General features: G+C 42.1%; 1 protein-coding gene across 3 annotated transcripts in view, besides 1 other annotated feature; it reads right to left on the bottom strand.

The window, feature by feature from the left end:
• RCL1 (RNA terminal phosphate cyclase like 1) overlaps positions 1 to 18,747 on the bottom strand; it is a 68,123-nt gene that overhangs the window by 24,731 nt on the left and 24,645 nt on the right. Inside the window, exons 2-5 of one of the 3 annotated variants that reach the window (NM_005772.5) lie at positions 12,717 to 12,788; positions 9,303 to 9,478; positions 3,108 to 3,182; positions 2,071 to 2,195 (exon numbers count right to left, since the gene is read on the bottom strand). In NM_005772.5, coding sequence (NP_005763.3) covers positions 2,071 to 2,195; positions 3,108 to 3,182; positions 9,303 to 9,478; positions 12,717 to 12,788 — 448 coding nt within the window. The remainder of the gene's footprint in view (positions 1 to 2,070; positions 2,196 to 3,107; positions 3,183 to 9,302; positions 9,479 to 12,716; positions 12,789 to 18,747) is intronic. The other 2 variants (NM_001286700.2, NM_001286699.2) reach the window with 2 other exon arrangements.
• Positions 2,813 to 3,107: an enhancer, noted in NCBI's record as "tiled region #4294; K562 Activating DNase matched - State 5:Enh". NCBI's record gives its function as "activates a minimal TATA promoter and a strong SV40 promoter by Sharpr-MPRA in K562 cells {active_cell/tissue: K562}" and the evidence as "EXISTENCE:reporter gene assay evidence [ECO:0000049][PMID:27701403]".

Raw genomic sequence — 18,747 nt, 5'->3', positions numbered from 1 at the left:
CCCAATGCTCCAGCACCCACCCTCCAACTGTCCTCCTGTAGGACCCACCCACCTTGCCAACCTGCATCCAACCTTGGATGAAATTGGTCCTCCCACGTTCTCTACTCCTCCCTCTAGGCTGCCAACTGCCACTGGATATAGCCACATGGCCATGCAGCTGGCACTGTGTTAACATTACACCTTCAGCAAGGACCTTACTGCTGGAACACAGCCTTTTTCTTATCTTCAGTTATGATGCTCCCCTGTGAAGGCACATCTTTACCATCCTTGTCACACTCTCTTATCCTACCCCGCCCATCCCCTTACCCTCAATCCCATCCTAACTCGGTAACAACTGAAAACTCATCCCAACCCCCTTCCACTCACCTCCACACAGCTCTACCTGGAGCCACCCTTACCGTATGCCTGTGGCCTTGAATCCATCCCCTCTCAAGTAAGAATAAAAAGAATAGTAGTAACCATTTACCCAATGCTACTTACACACCAGTGCCTCCTACTGTGCAACTACGATCTCATTTTACCTTCATGACAGTCTCGCACAGCAGTTATAACAGGACTAAAGATATACGGGCAACCAAGGCTTACGGCCAAATGCTTCCATTGGTAAGTGGCGCAGCCGGCGTCGGCACCCACGTCTTTCTGACTCCAGCACCTGGGCTTTTAATCAGCTCATTACTTTGCTTCATCTACATTAACAACCTACAAAAACACTCAAATCCTTACCAATCTTTTTGTAAAAGGGAGGGAGTCTCCCTGACTCTCGCTTCATCAAGTTACTCCCTCATCCTTCCTTCTCCTTCTCTTTCCTGTCAAGGTTCTGTAAAGAGTGGTCCCCACAAGCCGCTGTTTCCCTCCCCTTCACTCCACAACCCAGAATTAGTCCCTTGGGATAGGGATCCAGCACTCTTCCCCAGGGCATCAGTGACAGCCTGCTGCTGAGTCCCTCAGCTTTTCCCCCACCCCAATGCTAACTCCTCAGGGCCTTTTAAAGTGCTGACCTGAGCTTCCAGGAAGCTATGTTTTGTTTATTCTCTTCCCCACTCTTACTTCCCTCCTTACTTAACTCTTGCTTTCAAGTTTTGGTGGCCTCACAGGGTTCCACCCTCCTTTCTTTGCGTTCTGCATAGTATCTGATTCCAGCCACCTTCAGCTCTTCACTGGCCCCTGCCTGTCTTCATGCCCCATTCTACCATCAAATGCCATAGACCAACCTGAAATCTGGCCACACTTCATTACTTGCCACTCCCTAGAACCACTGTGCACTGCCACCTCTGCTCAGGCCCACTTTTCTGCCTGAAGCCCTCCTCCTTTCTTGCTCTACTTTGCAATCCTCTGTTCTTCAAGGCTCCTTTCTATAGGCAAAAGTAAAAATTAAATGCCTGTACTTTAGAGTCACACAGACCAGGTTCAAATCCTAGCTCTGTCATTATTAGCAGTGTGACATTATTAAGAAATTCCTTAAGCTTTTGAAGCTTCAGTTTCCCCATCTGCAAAAAAGGATGTAAGTGAACTCAAGGGTCAATGTGAGGCTTAAAAGCATGTAAAGTGACTACTGAAGTAGATGCAGAGTAAATACTTAATAGTAGATATCATTCATTATGATTACTCCAGCCTCCCTAGGTCCTCCAGACAAAATTGACCACTGTCTACTCCAGGCCCCCACCCCACTGCACATATCATTTTGCATGTTATATCAGAACTGTGTGTTTTCATATTTGGTTCCTTCACCGAATGATGACGTCTTCTGAGGGAGGAACTGCAGTATATTCATGGCCCCCAAACCAAAGCCCTTGAGAGAGGATCACATACATCAGAGCCATTTGCCTAAATGTTAACCGGAAAATTAAAAAAAAAAAAAAAAAAAGAATGACTCAATCAATCTAGTCATGGTGAGGCAGATAACAGAACATCCTAACTCAGCCAGCAATTACAATTTCACTGTTAAGACTTTTCAAAGTTGTAGTCTAAAATGTAAATAACCTCGGGAAGAAGTAAAGCTGTTAGTCATTCTTATCTTAGTGAGGCAACAACAACAAAAAAAAAAGAAATCCAAATAAATGGAAAGGATACGCCATTCCTCTAATACGTTTGATTTTTCCTGGATCTGTGAGTTGAATGGGCTTCAAGACCTTCCTCACAGGACATGAGAAAACCACTTCGCCTCCTCCTCCGGGAGGCATTCCCCGTCGCACAATCTACACAGAGAGTGAGAAAGATGAGGCGAGGATGCAGCAAAGCAATGGATTACCCTGACACCCTGCCCAGGAAGGTTTACACCAGCAGATGCTTCCTTACAAGGCATAGCTCTTCCATATTCAATCTGTCATTCCCTTCAAGACCAACAGCACCTTATGTTGGCTCCTAGAGAGTACCTGTGCAGCATGTGTCAAAGTCCAAGTCGATTACCCAAGTGGCTCTGCCACTCATCTCTTTAACCCTGAACAGGTCACTTCTTTATCCTTAAAATATAGAGCTGACCTAGTCCATCATCTGAGCCCATTTCTTAATAATCAGAAACCCCTTTTTCTCCTCCCATGCAAATAACGGATCTACCAAAACATTATTAAATAAAAATGAAGTCATTTCCCCTGTTTAAAACATGAATGTAAAAGGCAGAGATGCTAAACGGTTTACCACATTGGATTGATATAATTCAACAAAATACAGATGCTTAAACTACTTCTACTAGATTTTGGAAATACTGAAAATTCTCAGGGACATCCAGGTTGGGAGCCCCTGAACATAAATTATATCCAGATCATTTAGATCAGAGAGCCAATATGGCCCAAATCTATTCTCCACTGCTTGCTAGCTGAGGCACATGGGCGGAGCTGTTGTGAGGAGAAAAGGAGTTAGTATTTGTAAACTGCTTAGAACGGCCCCCACCGCAAAAGAAGTGCAACATCACTGTCAGCTACTATTGTTATTACTAAAGGGTCCCTTTCAGTTCAAAGTCTGTAGTGTTTATTTCATGAGCCCTGTGAGTCTTCTGATAACTGGTGACTTCAAATGTGACACACATACACTGAGTCACACAGCTCTTCCAATGAGTCAGTGGGAAAATGTTTTCCACAGGAACATATGGTCAACAGTTCAAACATTCTTACCTTCAGTTCAAATGATTCACCATCAATCCCAAATTGTTTCAACAAAGGGAGTGCTGTTGCCTTAAGAACATCAACCTATGAAATTATTTCAGAAAAGAAAAGTTTAATTAAGCCTTCAGCAGAATACAAGAGTCAAAAAAAACAAGTAAGGCTTAGCAACCAGGTAGATGATGCAGTGTGGTAAACAGAAAGGATGCTGGCATATAACTGAGCGAGTGGGCTGGCTCTGCCTGAGGAACACTGTGATTTCACAGGCCACTGGGCTTCTCTGAGCCGCACTTTCCTCATTCATGACATGGAGACCAACACCTACCTTAAAGTCATCGTGTGCATCAGAGGCATCATGCAAAAAGCATGGAGAGACTGGACTGTTGTAGAAAACAAATGGAGAACCCTACTTTTTTTTTTTTTTTTTTTTTTTTTGAGTGGAATCTCGCTCTGTCACCAGGCTGGAGTGCAGTGGCGCGATCTAGGCTCACTGCAACCTCTGCCTCCCAGGTTCAAGCGATTCTCCTGCCTCAGCCTCCTGAGTAGCTGGGACTACAGGCATGTGCCACCACGCCCAGCTAATTTTTGTATTTTTAGTAGAGACGGGGTTTCACCATGTTGGCCAGGATGGTCTCAATCTCTTGAACTTGTAATCTGCCACCTCAGCCTCCCAAAGTGCTGGGATAACAGGTGTGAGCCACCACACCCAGCCTGGAGAACCCTACTCATTCTTATAGGTATAAACGTACAGAAGAAAATCATCTTTTTCATTAACATTTGTCCAGTAGGGTTATTTAATGTTTAGAGCCGGTAGCATTCCGAGTCAAAGCAAACCAAATTAACTATTCAACAGCTCACCTAAGAATGCCAATGATGAGCACCACACAGGCAGCTAAAGGGAAGGTGATGATTTTACATGGGAGTTGGGGAGTCGGGGTGATGACAGCCTCAAACTACAGGAAGCAGCACAAACTCAAAACTACAATTAGTTACAACATCCATAGTTAATGGCAAGACTTTGCCACGTGTAACTGTTATCTCCTCCTGCATTCAGAGCTCCCAGGAAGTCTGGGGTCTTTCTGATCCATTTGTGGATTCCTGATAAGAGTAGAAAGATGGCATTCAAATCAGGTACTGTTATCTAACGAGTTGGCAAATGTTGCCTCAACTGCTACATGGGAAAGAAAATTACTCCATTACTTGTTCCCTTCTTGGATCTGTCAGCTGGCAGGGAGGGCAGGCACCACACAGAAGGCATAGGAAAAGCCCTAGTCCTGGTCCCAGCTCTGCTTCTAATTAGCTATGTTGCCTCAGACAAGAAAATCACAACTATCTGAATTTCCTTATCTCTAAGGCAAGGGGCTCAAGCCCAGCCATCTCCAAGTTACAACTAACTCTAACAGGCTAAGAAGCCCCAACTAAATATTGTGATATCAGAAAAATACCAGACTTAGGAATGACCTGTGAGGCCTAAGAACATGCTTAGAATGGATCAGGTGGGGCAGGGGAAACTAGGAAAACCACTGAAGATTAGCTAATTTTAAATATTAAAGCTACAGCCCGAGCAACATAGTGAGACCTCATCTCTACTAAAAAAAAATAAGCTGGGCATGCTGCACGCCTGTGGTCCTAGCTACTTGAGAGGCTGAGGTGGGAGGATCACTTGAGCCCAGGACTTCAAGGCTTTGGTGAGCCACGATCATGCCACTGCACTCCAGCCTGGGAGACAGAGTGAGACCCTCTCTCTAAAAATAAAAAAATAAAGCACACTCAAAAACTTAATATATGCATTTGGCGTTGCCAGATAAAGAAGAATACAGTCGAGGCTTAAGAGCAGCTGGGGAGAAGGCCAAGTCAGATTCTGAAAAAGTAGGGGATGCAATGCTGCAGTTACTCTGGGCAGCCACCGGCTCTCTCGAGGGAAAAAAAGGTGAAAAAACACAGCATTCCTTCTGGCTCATCCTTCCTATACCTTGAGTCACAAAGAGTGAAGCCAAATTTACTTAGTTCAGCAAGAAGCCCAAGGGTAATTCCAGGTGTAGTCCTGTCCCTTTATCACTCTCCATATGACATGGAAGACAGGCAACTTGGTGCGGTGGGACAAGGGCAGGAAAAGCAGATGAGGGCTTGGGACCTACTCTGCCTCTCACTGGCTGTTAGACCCTAGACAATTCCCTGTCTCCTGGGCCTCAGTTTCCTCCTTCGTAAAATGAGAGGCTGGGCCGAACACTCTCCAGTCTCCTGCAGCTTTGCACATTCTAGTTTTAGCAGAGTGATGGTGGCCTGTAAGTTCTGCTTAAGGGAAAGTGATCGGTCCACTCTGCGGTCAGAGAGAAAAGGCAAAGATCAAACCCTAAGTGGCAGCTCAGGGCAAAGGTATTACCATTACAGCGCAGTCAATCAATCAAAAGGTAAAAATGTAATCAATCTATGCTAAAAAAAGAAAAAAGAGAGGAAGAAACCTGCTCTCCAGTTACCTTGTCTGAAACACCCACCTCACTGGGTTGGTAGAAGAATTAAACAGATATGGATATACACATACATACATATGTACACCTAGAATAATGCCCAGTACATGGGAGACATTATTGTACTTCTTTTCCTTCTCTAAGAGGGAACTGGAAAAGAATGGAATCTTCATCCACCATTGGAGCAGCTTGTTGGCACCAACAAATAATTACTGGGAGCTCTGGTGCCACACTACCAAGAGTCAGGAGACCTTCTAAAACTTCTCTTTAAAATTTCTCCCCACTTTCTATTCTCTTGCCTCTAAGGAAAAAATGTCTTCTTCCTCTTCATAAGGCTCATTCCATCACCTCTGTTTTCAATCCTTATCCCCTCTGGACTTCGGCAAGGACCCTCAGCTCTTTTAATTATTTTCTTTTCCATTACAGCTTCTCCTCAGCCTACAAGCAAGCTCAAGTTTCCCCTAGTCTAAAAAAAATCCCAACCTCAGCTCTTAAAACCTTCTGGAAGAATCTCCTAACTTTCCAATAGCTCTAGTTCCTACTCGTTCCTCAGTCTGTTCCTGTCCTTATACTCCAATAACACTGTTCTCTCAAAGGTCAATAAAAATGTCTCACTGCTCAGTCTGACTCAACTCTGGCAAAGAGTGATTCTGTGGATTATCCCTGACTTCTTAGAACTTGATTCCTGCTTGGCTTCTCCAAATACTTCTATCTCCACAGTCACTCTGTCTCTAGCTCCTCTTCTCCCACTCACACCTTAAACACTCATTTCTCCTTCTTCCATTCTCAGTCCCTTGGACCATGGGGCAGAAACCCTAATGCCCACAGAGGGCAGAGAGGAAGCTTAAATGAATGATGAGGTCAGCTGTGACCTGTGTCCAGCTGAAAGCTCACACCTTATCCAAAAAAGGCAGCTGCTACTCACCTCCAACTGATGGCTGTCATGGAGGAACCACCATTCAGTATTGTCACACTGCCCTATCATAATGTAAAATCTGGAGTTTCAAACATGAACAACCAATTCAGATGCATACACACACCACTACCAACAACCACCACCACCGCCACCACTGCCACACTGTACATGTCAAAGGAAAAACACGTGAAAGATGAATTCAGCCAAACCCACCAGTGTTCAACCTCAGCCTAATCAATCTCATACTCCTAGAGGCTTAAGTATCAGCAGGTAAGATCGTGATGACCTGTCTCTGAGGCTCCAGACAATAATTTCTAACTGCCAACTGGAAATCCTTATATGGTTAGGCTGCCAACATCCCAGGGAACAAGACCAAAATAAAAAGCATCACTCATTATCCTACTGCAATTTTCCTCTTCCCTTTGTCAAATGGGAATGATCTTTACGATCATGATCCTTTATTGCAACCAGGACAGAAATCATGAAGTCATCTATGGCCCCTTCCTCTCACTCCGCCTCCAATTAGTTGTCCTATCTGCCCCTTCCGTTCTCCTTCCATCTCCATAATGCCCAAGCTAGTCTATCACCTCTCCATTCATCTTTCACTCAACCTCCAGAATTATCTTCCTAAAACCCAGACTGATTCTGATTTTCCCTCCTCAAGAAACGCTCTCTAACACTAAGCACTTTGCTTCTACCTCTATCGAGCCCAAGGGTATTCATCCTTGTAATCTCTCTAAATGAGTTCCCAGCTGTCCACCCCACGAGACTAGGAGTTTGTTAAGGACAGAATCACTCATTTCATCCTTGTACACAGAGAGTAGATGCAGACATGAACTAATGAGGAAACCACAAAGAAAAGAAGAAGCTAGAAATGAAGGAGCCATGGAATGAGCTGAAGAAGTCACTCTTTATTCAGGATTAAGTATATTTATTTTACCCTGGCCTGGAGCCAGATACCAACCAAGGTCATTTTAGTCATGCAGCTGGCAAAAGCAGATACTCCTACAGCATATGAAAACAGACTTTTTGGGTCCCATTTCTGAGAAATTCATCAACTGATCTTTTGTCACTGTTAGCATATAAAATTTTTAAAATATTGCCAGTGAGAAAAGCTTTTAAGATAATTAGCAAGTATAGAAAAAAAAAGCACAAAACAGATACACACACTGCTGTACACTTCAGGGCCTTTTCCCACTGTTTGAGGCACCTTTCTCTCTTCCAATCTAAATATATTTATACCTCTTCTCATTCTTTTATCCAAAGAACTCATTTCCTATAGTCTTCTAGAAAATGCAAAAAAAAAAAAACACTTAATTAAATATTCTCAACAGTTTACGCAACATTCCTTTACAGCTTAAGAATTTCAGATCTTGTACTATACTCAGTATCCCAGGGAAAAGAGTTTATGCAGCTGAATTTCCAAGAAATGAAGAATAAGTTTTTATTGCCTAAGAACATATTAACAATGTTTATACCCTAGTAGGTATCTTGATGAATACCAGCAATCTCTACTTTGGGGCTCACAGCATCACCTCATTGGTCCTCCCTGAGTAGAAAAGCTACATAATTCACATTCTGCCTCAGAAGCTATCCATTCATTGGTCTTGGCCTGTAATGGTAAAGACAAGCATACCACCTCAGTACTTTGCATCATGGCCATCAACTTTTTTTTTTTTTTTTTTTTTTTTGAGACGGAGTCTCGCTCTGTTGCCCGATCTCGGCTCACTGCAAGCTCTGCCTCCCAGGTTCACGCCATTCTCCTGCCTCAGTCTCCCGAGTAGCTGGCACTACAGGCGCCCGCCACCATGCCTGGCTAATTTTTTGTATTTTTAGTAGAGACGGGGTTTCACTGTGTTAGCCAGGCTGGTCTCGATCTCCTGACCTCATGATCTGCCCGCCTCGGCCTCCCAAAGTGCTGGGATTACAGGCGTAAGCCACTGCGCCCGGCCGGCCATCAGCTTTAAGATATCTTCTCTGACAGCAGAGCATCCAAAAGCAGGGAATCCACCCCTTCCTACAAGGGAGGGAGGCCTGGACAGGACTTCTCTAGACTTCTCTAATCTCTCTCTCTCTCACACACACACACACACACGCGTGCACACACACACACACACACACACACTTCATCCTAGAATGGCATTAAGACAGTTGTGATCACAATAAAAAGTTTTGCTTGATATTAAACCATTCTCCCCATATCTGCAGAAAAATTAGCATGTTTAATAAAAAGCTTGCTCTGGCATGACCCTTGGTGAAAAAAAATAAAATAAAAATCAAAAGCTTGCTGACACCCACAAACTACCAAAGCTCACACATTCCTTTCCTGACTTTATGCCCTTTTCCTAATCTGCAAACTCTTCTCAGAAGAAGAAAGCCCTTGAGTTTATGATTGAAGCCTGGGTAAGTCAAGATTACGCTGTAACAATGCCAAGGAGCTATGATCTCCTGCCCAAAATTTTGGTCAGCTGCCCTCCAGCCTCAGCTACCACAGGATCTTACAAAAACTCCACTCTCACATATACAGCCAGCAGAACTATAGTTCATGTCAACTATGATGAGACGGAGAGCATCTGTTTTGAAGGTTCTTAGGTAACAACAAAAGGCACCTTGGTAACTGTTAACAATAGTCCTGAATTTGATGATCCTAAGTTTTGGTTCATCTGCCTCCTGGAGTGATTAACCTCTAAATCTCAAAGTAAATAACAAAAGCAATATACATTTGTAATAAAACTGTGCCTTATAAGGAACTTTTTTCTCACAAGTTGGGTTGTGACAAGAGACAAAACAAAAACCACACCACGGTTTGTTCTCAATACTCACTGAAGGGTCAACCTGATCATTGGTCACTCCTCGTAGAACTATTTTTAACGGGTGCTTCATAAATGGAGCCAAGCAAAGAAGACTCTCCAGGTAATACCCAATGCCACGAAGGACGCTACAGTCATGTTCCACAGATCCACCATACAGGAGGCCAGGCTGATAATATAAGGTTGTTCCTTAAACCAGAAGAAAAAGAGCCACATTCAGCAGGAAAAAAACTAAAATGTCACAAAGGTAATGAAGGCAGTGAGTTCCAAGGGGAAAGCCTGACAAGGGCATCCAAGAGTGCTCGAAATGCCATCTTGCTAAGAGCCCACACTTCGCTCCAAAAGCTGACTCACTACTGTCAAGCCCCTGTAACAATAATAAACTGTGAATGTAATTTAATAATCAGTAATAAAGTAAACCCCTCTCTGAGCCATCTGAGTTGCCAGAGTCATGGCAGGGCACAGAAAAGAGATCCTAATAAGCACCCTAGTCTCCCAACAGCACATTCTCAGACTAGGCTGACCACAGAGGGGAATTACAAATGATGTGCTTAAATCATCACACCAGCAACCAGCATCCTCTAGGGCCCCTGAAATGATATTTCTCATATACCTCATTCACCAAACATGATGCCAAGAAAAGGCAAGTACTTTATGGCATTCAGTGCCATTAATAGTAGGTCTTTTAATTTAATATTGATACAGGGACATGCCTAATATTATTTTACGGCTTTAGTGGAAACTACTATCTTTATTCACTTCTCACATAATCGTATCATTCAAAAAGCTTTGTTTTGTTTTGAGACAGGGTCTTGCTCTGTCCCCCAAGCTGGAGTACAGCGGCATGATCACAGCTTGCTGCAGCTCAACCTCCAGAGCCAAGCAATCCTCCCATCTCAGCCTCCAGAATAGCTGGGACCACGACCAGCTAATTTTTTTTTTCTTTTTCTTTCTTTCTTTCTTTCTTTTTTTTCTTTATTTTAGAGAAAGGGTCTCACTATGTTGTCCAGGATAGTCTTGAACTCTTGGGCTCAAGTGATCCTCCCACCTCAGCCTCCCAAAGTGCTGAGACCCTAGGCACATGCTACCACACTCAGCTAATCATTTTTTTTTTTTGAGAAAGGGTCTCACTATATTGCCCAGGCTAGTCTGAAACTCCTAGGCTCAGCTTCCCAAAGTGCTGGGATTACAGACATGAACCACCTTGTGCCTGGCTATCCAAAAAGCTTCTTACTCCCATCTCATCTTCCCAAAGTGCTGGGATTACAGGCATGAACCACCATGCCTGGCTCTCCAAAAAGCTTCTTACTAGATTTACATATCAATGTAAAAAACTGTAAATGACATAGGGGGACATAAATGGTTGAACAAGGTATTTCTGCTGCACAAAATCTTTTGCAATGCCCTCTGGCACAATTTACCAAAAATATATTTAACATTAGAGGAAGGAGGCATGTTCAGTCACTCAAATGGGAAAAAGTTCTTGGGACTTTCATAAAATAAATGTAGGTTTTACTACATTAAACACTAGAATCCAAACAATCACAATCAGGACCATATTCTGATCAAAGTAATGAACACTTCTCAAATGGACTCTGGGTCAGTTATCTGAAATAGTTGTAAGGGCCACAAAACCATCCTTTAGATCAAAAAACCATAAAAAGACTATATATTCACTAAATGCTTCAAATCCGTATGTTTATTTATACAAATTAGCCAAATGAGAAACTGGCCAGATCATCAGAATGAAGGCTTTTACTACTCTGATGCGGAAAATTAAAAGGACATGTAGTGGGAGCAGAATCATGTAAATGTCTTACTCCTCAATCTACATTGCCAGTATGACTAGAAAAGAATAGACTTGGGCCACGCACTGTGGCTCATGCCTGTAATCCCAACACTTTGGAAGGCTGAGGTGGATGGATCACCCGACAGATCACCCTGTCTCTACTAAAAAAAAAAAAAAAATGAGCCAGGTATGGCAGCAGGCAACTGTAATCCCAGCTACTGGGGAGGCTAAGGCAGGAGAATCGTTTGAACCCGGGAGGCAGAAGTCGCCATGTGCCAAGATCGCACCACTGCACTCCAGCCTAGTTGACGGAACAAGACTCCGTCTCACACAGACACAAAAAAAGAATAGAATTATCCGTCTTCTGGATCACCAATGAAAGTTACTGAAAAAACCTCCAGCAATTTCAAAGCAAACAAGCTAAAGGAAATTAAGGGACTCATAGCTGGCAAAAGACATGTGAGTATCTCATTCCCGAAACCTGTTCTCCATAAGATATGGCTGAATGCAGCTATAGATCAGAATATCTCATGTGGTATAGGACCACATATGAACCCAAGCTTGCCTTAAGAGAGCCAAGATAGGGAAAAGGTCAGAGATTTATTTGTGGAATGTGTGCGGAAAGGTAGAGAGTTAATGGAGTCAGCCAACGGATGTTTGCCACAGTTTTCCATACAATGTAGACACAAGTTTCTAATAGAAAAAATAAAAGCTAGAAACAACCTAAATGTTTATCAATGGGGAGCAGTTAAATAAATTATCATGCATCAATACACTGGAATACTATACTACAACCCACAGAAATATTAAGGAAGACCTGCATGTGCTGGAAGGGAAAGTTCTCTGAGACATTTGTACTAGCAAAAAAAAAAAAAAAAAAAAATGCTGGCTGAAGAACAATATGAAGAGCATGATGTTGCTGATGGTCTGAATTATGCAAATGTCCATGTAAGCAAATGCTGTGACAGTGGCTACCCCTGGAGAGGGGAATGGAAGAGGAAAGAGGTGAAGGGATGTTCACATCTTTTGCATATACTTGTGTAAACTTATTTTAACAAACAAAATTTAAAATAAATAGAATTCAGCCCATAAACTACCTCACAGAGTTGGCTGAAATAATTTAATGTGATAATATAAGTAAATGGACTTTGGAAAGTTTCATGTAAACATTATGTATAAAATATTTATTGTTAAAAAAAGAGGAGAGACTTTGCTGAAATTTTCAGTCTTCTAACTTCCTTAAATCAAATGTACGCCCTTCAAATTGGGAGACTTCATGTATGTCTCTGGAAAATCATATCACAGAGAGGTAACTGGGTCTTTCCATCGGAACACGGTATTTTTTAAAATGATCTAGAATGATATGCTTTTATTATGATCTACACTCACAGCTTCCTCATATAACTCCAAAGTTATATGGTGAGTTCCTCATATAAGTCCCCCCAAAATTCTAATTTAATGGTGATTTATATAATACAAAGTGATTAGTAAAGCTTTAAACATAATATTTATACCATTAAAAAGAGTGATTTGGATAAGCAGAGACTGACTAGAAAAAAAAAGGAAAGAAAAAAAAGAGTGAGAAACAGGAATGCTTTAGTGCATGGAGGTGCTTTTAGGAATCTAAAAGGAGCTTACCTGTTTGGTTTATTTCAATTCGAGAACCATTCGTTATTTTGTCCAATAGCCTTATGAAGCTGGCTTCAAAATCTGTGAAGAAAAAAAATCTGTGAAGAAAAGAGAAGACAGACTGTCCTCATGTCAGGTCAACATTTCCAGAGCACATGCCTGATTCAGGTACTGTGGTAGAGGGCAGGTTACTTCCTGCATCACACCTGGGCTTTCCTAAAGGACTGGGTAGGTTCACAGGTTGAGGAACCTGACGCAGTTGAAAAGCACTGACTGGTACATATATGTTTAGTAGAACTTAGAAACAATTCAGCTTTCACATTGTAAAAAAAAAAAAAAAAAAAAAATAGCTCCACCAGCAATCTAATGGGATATTACTTTCAGCAGCATAAAACCCTTAAGACCTATTCTTCTGAACTCAGGAGGACATGCCAAATAACGGAGAAACAGTAGAAAGTAGGGAACAATTTTAAAGTCAGATTCTTCCCTGCTCCAGAATGCCTGGAAGGAAAGATTAAATTGAGGACCACCCTTCAGTCTCAGAGACAGTAAGAGATCACTATCTCTGCCTTTCAGCAAAGTATCCCTCCCTTTTCCCATCCTCTACCATCCTACTGATTTCAACTATCTAACCAGTTCAGTTTTTTATTTTACTAAAAGGGTGTTTGAATGTACAGTATTACTGCCTTCTTTTTTTAATGCATGAGAAAATACTGGAAGAAAAAAGGCGAAATGTTAATAAATGTTTTTATCTTAATGATTGGATTTTATATAAATTTAATTTTATATTAAAAGTTTATTTATTTATTTTTAAGAGACAGGGTTTGTTGCCCAAACTGGAGTATAGTGGCGTGATCACGTCTCACTGTAACCTGGAACTCCTGGCCTCAAAGGATCCTCCTGCCTCAGCCTCCCAAGTAGCTGGGACCACAGACGTGCACCACTACACCCAGCTAATTTCTTATTTTATTTTTGTAGAGATAGGGTCTCGTTATATTCACCAGGCTGGTCTTGAACTCCTGACCTCAAACAATCCTCCCACCTCAGCCTCCCAAAGTGCTGGGATTACAGTCGTGAGCCACCAAGCCTGGGCAAAAGCTGGTCATTGTTTAAAAGAGAAAGAGAGGGGGAGAGGAAAAAAGAAGGGGAAAGGAAGAGAATAGATTTTAAATGTAAGATTATGGGAGGAGAAGTGAAGACTCCTCCAGTCTTCCTTCCCCTGAGCTAATCTTACACACAAACACACCCCTTAGTTTTAACTTCCTGCCCATGAACAAGGACAGAAAGACTAACTCTTCTGCCACTGAAGGCACTGTGACTGCCTGACACTTTTAGACAATTCCCACTCCTGTAATAAACCAGCAGAGTTTATGGACACAGTCCAGTAGTCACCTAAACTGATCCCAAAGGGTGAGTGGATCAACTAAGCAATTCCCATCTACCTAGTCTGTTACATAACACTGTCCCATAACTCTTGTCATAATGGATTCTGCAATTTGTACAAAGGGCACTGGGCTAGAAATCAGAGAAACACCATTAAATCCTGAAACAAATAACAATGGTTAATAAAGCTGCTGTGTGTTGCATGCTTACTTTCCACTAGCTATTCTTTCATTTAATACTCATATCCCTGAGGCACAGAGTGTCATTCCCATTTGCTATGGTTTGAATGTTCTCTCTAAAATTCATGTTGAAACTGAGTTGTCATTGTGACTATATTAAGAGATGGGACCACTAAAAGGTGATTAAGCCACAAGGGCTCTGGCCTTATGAATAGATGAATGCCATTATCACAGGAGTGGATTTATTATTATATCACAAGAGTGGGCTGCTATAAAAATGAGTCCAGCCAGGGGTGCCATGGTGTGTATCTGTAGTCCCAGCCACTCAGGAGGCTGAGGTGGGAGGATCACCTGTGACCACGAGTTGAAGGCCAGACTGGACAACACAGCAAGATGCCCATCTCTGGGGGGAAAAAAAAAAATGAGTCCAGCTCTCTCAGTCACTCTCGCTCTCCCTCTCTTGCTCTTCCACTTTCTGCTATGGGAAGCTGTGGCAAGAAGGCCCTTGCCAGATACTAGCACCTTGATATTGGATTTCTTGGCTTCCAGAACTGTGATAAATTTCTTTTCTTTTATAAATTACCCAGTCTGTGCCTGTGACATTGTTATAGCAAAACGAAATGGATTAAGATGCCATTTTACAAAAGGCTAGGATCCAAGAATGCCAACTAGATTGCCCTAGTCAAATGACACTGAGACCCAAGAATGCCAAACAGACTGCCCTGATCATATGACCAGAAAGTGGCAAAACCAGGATCTGAGCCCAAGTCTGTCCTTCTCCAAAGTCCATGCTCTCTCTCTCTCTTTTAAGAAATAGGATCTCACTATGTTGCCCAGGTTAGTTTCAAACTCCTGGCCTCAAGTGATCCTCCTGCTTCAGGCTCACAAACGCTGGGATTACAGGCATAAGCTACTACACACAACCTAAAGGTTCCACACTCTTAGCCACACCACGACACTAGTTTGCCTCTGTTCAGTTTAATTCCTTGGAGCTAACCTCTTCCTCTAGAAAATCATGGTACCTTCAACTATAGGCACTGATCTCTTGAAGGATCTTATAGTTAATTTAATGGATCTCTAATCAACATTAAAAAAAATTAGAACAGAATAAACTACGTTGGAATAACTGTATATACTAAGGATGCTGTTCGTGAAACTTCAGTCTGTTTTACACATATGTGTATGTGTAATAGGTTGTGATGTAAGTAGCATCACAGGAGTTTGAAAGTATCTGAACGACGGAATTGAATTAGAAATTATTTCTACGATCTTTTTAACATTCTTTACAAATCAGGCACAATCTCTACCACAATGCCACTTTCTACTTAGGTTTATAGAAAATCTAACGTGCTCTGCAGAAAAAAGGAAAGCCCTTGATTTGTTCAAACTTTCTAAGTGTCTAAATGGGATAGAGGAACAAGCACCTACAAATAAAGCCTAAGATTAAACCCCACAGATTTTTACAAATTAGAAAAGAAAAAAGGAAGAAACCATGACTTTACTTTCTAGATTTTGTTTTTTGCAATCCACACGGACTCTTACACACAAACAAAACCAGAAACGCCCAGCAGAACAAAAGTAGAAAGAGAATGGGCATAAAGAGAACTCCAGGCAGGACCATCCCTGATCACGGCAAACCGGTGCTTCAGAAGCAGCACTTCAAAGAAGCAGACTCAGAGCTAGTTCCGGAGCCCTGGCAACAGTGAAGATATGACTCCATCACCTGGTACAAGAAAAGATCTCAAGTCCACCTAATAATGGTAAGATCAAAGTCCCCAAACTTTACTAGGCCAACCTGTGTAGAATTCCTTGCCCATTCACCTCCCACACACCCTGCTGACTCCTCTTCTTCAAGACTGCTCCTGGGGCTACAAGATTTCAGGTATCTCAAAACGTTCAGGGAAAAGCTCCAAAAACAAGCACAATTTTACTACACTGTTTATGAATACATAATTAGGTTATAAAACTATAAAGAGAATCAAAGTCAATGCTATAATGGTGAGGATAGTGGCTACCAGTAGAGGCATGGCAAGGAGCTGTAAATAGCTAAAAGATGTACAGATGTTAGCAAAGTTATATTTCTTTTTGTGGATGGGGGGGTCACAAAGGTGTTCATTTTACGATCTCTTATGCACTACTTTTATATCTTATGCATTTTTTTATTTGTACAAATTTGGTGGGCACAAGTGTAGTTGTATTACATGGATATATTGAGTAGTGGTAAAGTTGATAAAGTCTGTGTTTTGTTTTGTTTTGTTTTTGAGACGGAGTCTCGCTCTGTCACCAGGCTGGAGTGCAGTGGCGCGATCTTGGCTCACTGCAACCTCCGCCTCCCGGGTTCAAGCGATTCTCTTGCCTCAGCCTCCCGAGTAGCTGGGACTACAGGCGCGTGCCACCACGCCCAGCTAATTTTTGTATTTTCAGTAGAGATGGGGTTTCACCATGTTGGCCGGGATGGTCTCAATCTCCTGACCTCATGATCCCCCCGCCTCGACCTCCCAAAGTGCTGGGATTACAGGCGTGAGCAAATTCTGTTTTTAATGTACCATCACCAGATAGTGTACATTGATAGTGACCATTTCTGCGGATAAAGAACAAGTGTACATATATGTACATATATTTGCTTATTTATGAAAAAGAAAAAGCCTGGGGAAAAAAACAACAAACTAGTAACACTGTTTAATTCAAAGATTCTCTAAACCAGCACTCTCCAACCTTTTGGCACCAGGGTCCAGTTTCATAGATCAGATCAGTGATGGCATTGGATTCTCATAGGACCATGAACCCTATTGTGAACTGCACATGCAAGGGATCGAGGCTGCTGGCTCCGTGTGAGACTCTAATGCCTGACGATCTGAGGTGGAACAGTTTCATCCTTCAACCATTCTGCCAACCCTGCCCTGTCTGGGGTTGAGGACCCCTGCTCTATAAACCCTTTTATTCCCTTTGAATTTTGTGTCATGTGCATATTTCTTAAAATACACAAAATTTAAATTATAAACAAAACAAAGATATTCCAACATGATTTAAATAGCCAACAAAACTGTTTTCATTAAATGGCCTATGACAGATCTTTATAATACCATGTGCCCCTAAGAAATGCTTTTAAAATAATTATTTAATTATGTGAGGAAAAGTTTAAAAGTTATATATATAATGTGATTTCAATTTCTTTTTCTTTTTTTTTTTTTTTTTGAGACAGAGTCTTGCTGCGTTGCCCAGGCTGGAGTGCACTGGCAAGACCTCAGCTCACTACAACCTCCGCCTCCAGGGTTCAACCAATTCTCCTGCCTCACCCTCCCGAGTAGCTAGGACTACAGGCACGTGCCACCATGTCCAGCTATTTTTAGTAGAGACAGGGTTTCACCATGCCGGACAGGATGGTCTTGATCTCCTGACCTCGTGATCCGCCTGCCTCAGCCTCCCAAAGTGCTGGGATTACAGGCGTGAGCCACCTAGCCCGGCCGGATTTCAATTTCTTTAGCGAATAACCAGAAGACAAGACAGTGAGCTGTTAACATGCAAAATTAGGAGTCATTCCTTTCCTCATTAAATCCAAAGAGGTAGACATTGCAAACACATACTCAATTCTTGGAATAAATTAAGACATCCACTCACTTGCAAATATGTATGTTTATTTATTTCTATATGTGCATTATTATATACAATGTGATAAATAAAAAATATTTTAATGTAAAGAACCAAATATCTTTCCTAAATTATACTGAGGTCAAGAAAAAAAAATGCAGACCATAATAAAATGTATTGTATAGAAAGAAAAATTTCATCAAAACAGATGAGATTCTACCAAAGAAAAATTTATCACTTTAAAAATCTTAGCAACTGGGCCGGGCGCGGTGGCTTATGCCTGTAATCCCAGCACTATGGGAGGCCGAGGCGGGTGGATCACCTGAGGTCAGGAGTTCAAGACCAGCCTGGCCAACATGGTGACACCCTGTCTCTACTAAAAATACAAAAATGAGCTGGGCAAGGTGGTAGGCAACTGTAATCTCAGCTACTTGGGAGGCTGAGTCAGGAGAATAGCTTGAACCTAGGAGGCAGAAGTTGCAGTGAGACGAGATTGCACCACTACACTCCAGCCCAGGCAACAAAAGCCAAATTCTGTCTCAAAAAAAAAAAAAAAAAAAAAAAAATCTTAGAAAAGTAAGAGCAAAATGAACTGAGAGTTTAGAAATGAAACAAAATTACAAGCCAAACAGTAAAGAAAAATGATAATCTCAAAAGAAGAGAAAAAGAAAATAAAAAATAAAGCTGGGTGTGGTGGCTCACGCCTGTAATCCCAGCACTTTGGGAGGCTGAGGCAGGCAAATTACTTGAGCCCAGGTGTTCAAGACCAGCATGGGCAACATGACCAAACCCTGACCCTACAAAAAATACAAAAATTAGCCAGGCATGGTGGCGCACACCAGTAGCCCCAGTCCCAGCTACTCAGGGGGGCAGGGTTGAGGTAGAGCTGA

This window comes from Homo sapiens, chromosome 9 (genome assembly GCF_000001405.40).
Source record: "Homo sapiens chromosome 9, GRCh38.p14 Primary Assembly".
NCBI classification, from domain to species: domain Eukaryota; kingdom Metazoa; phylum Chordata; class Mammalia; order Primates; family Hominidae; genus Homo; species Homo sapiens.
Note: the sequence above shows the minus strand (reverse complement) of the source record. Positions and strands in the feature narration are given on the sequence as shown.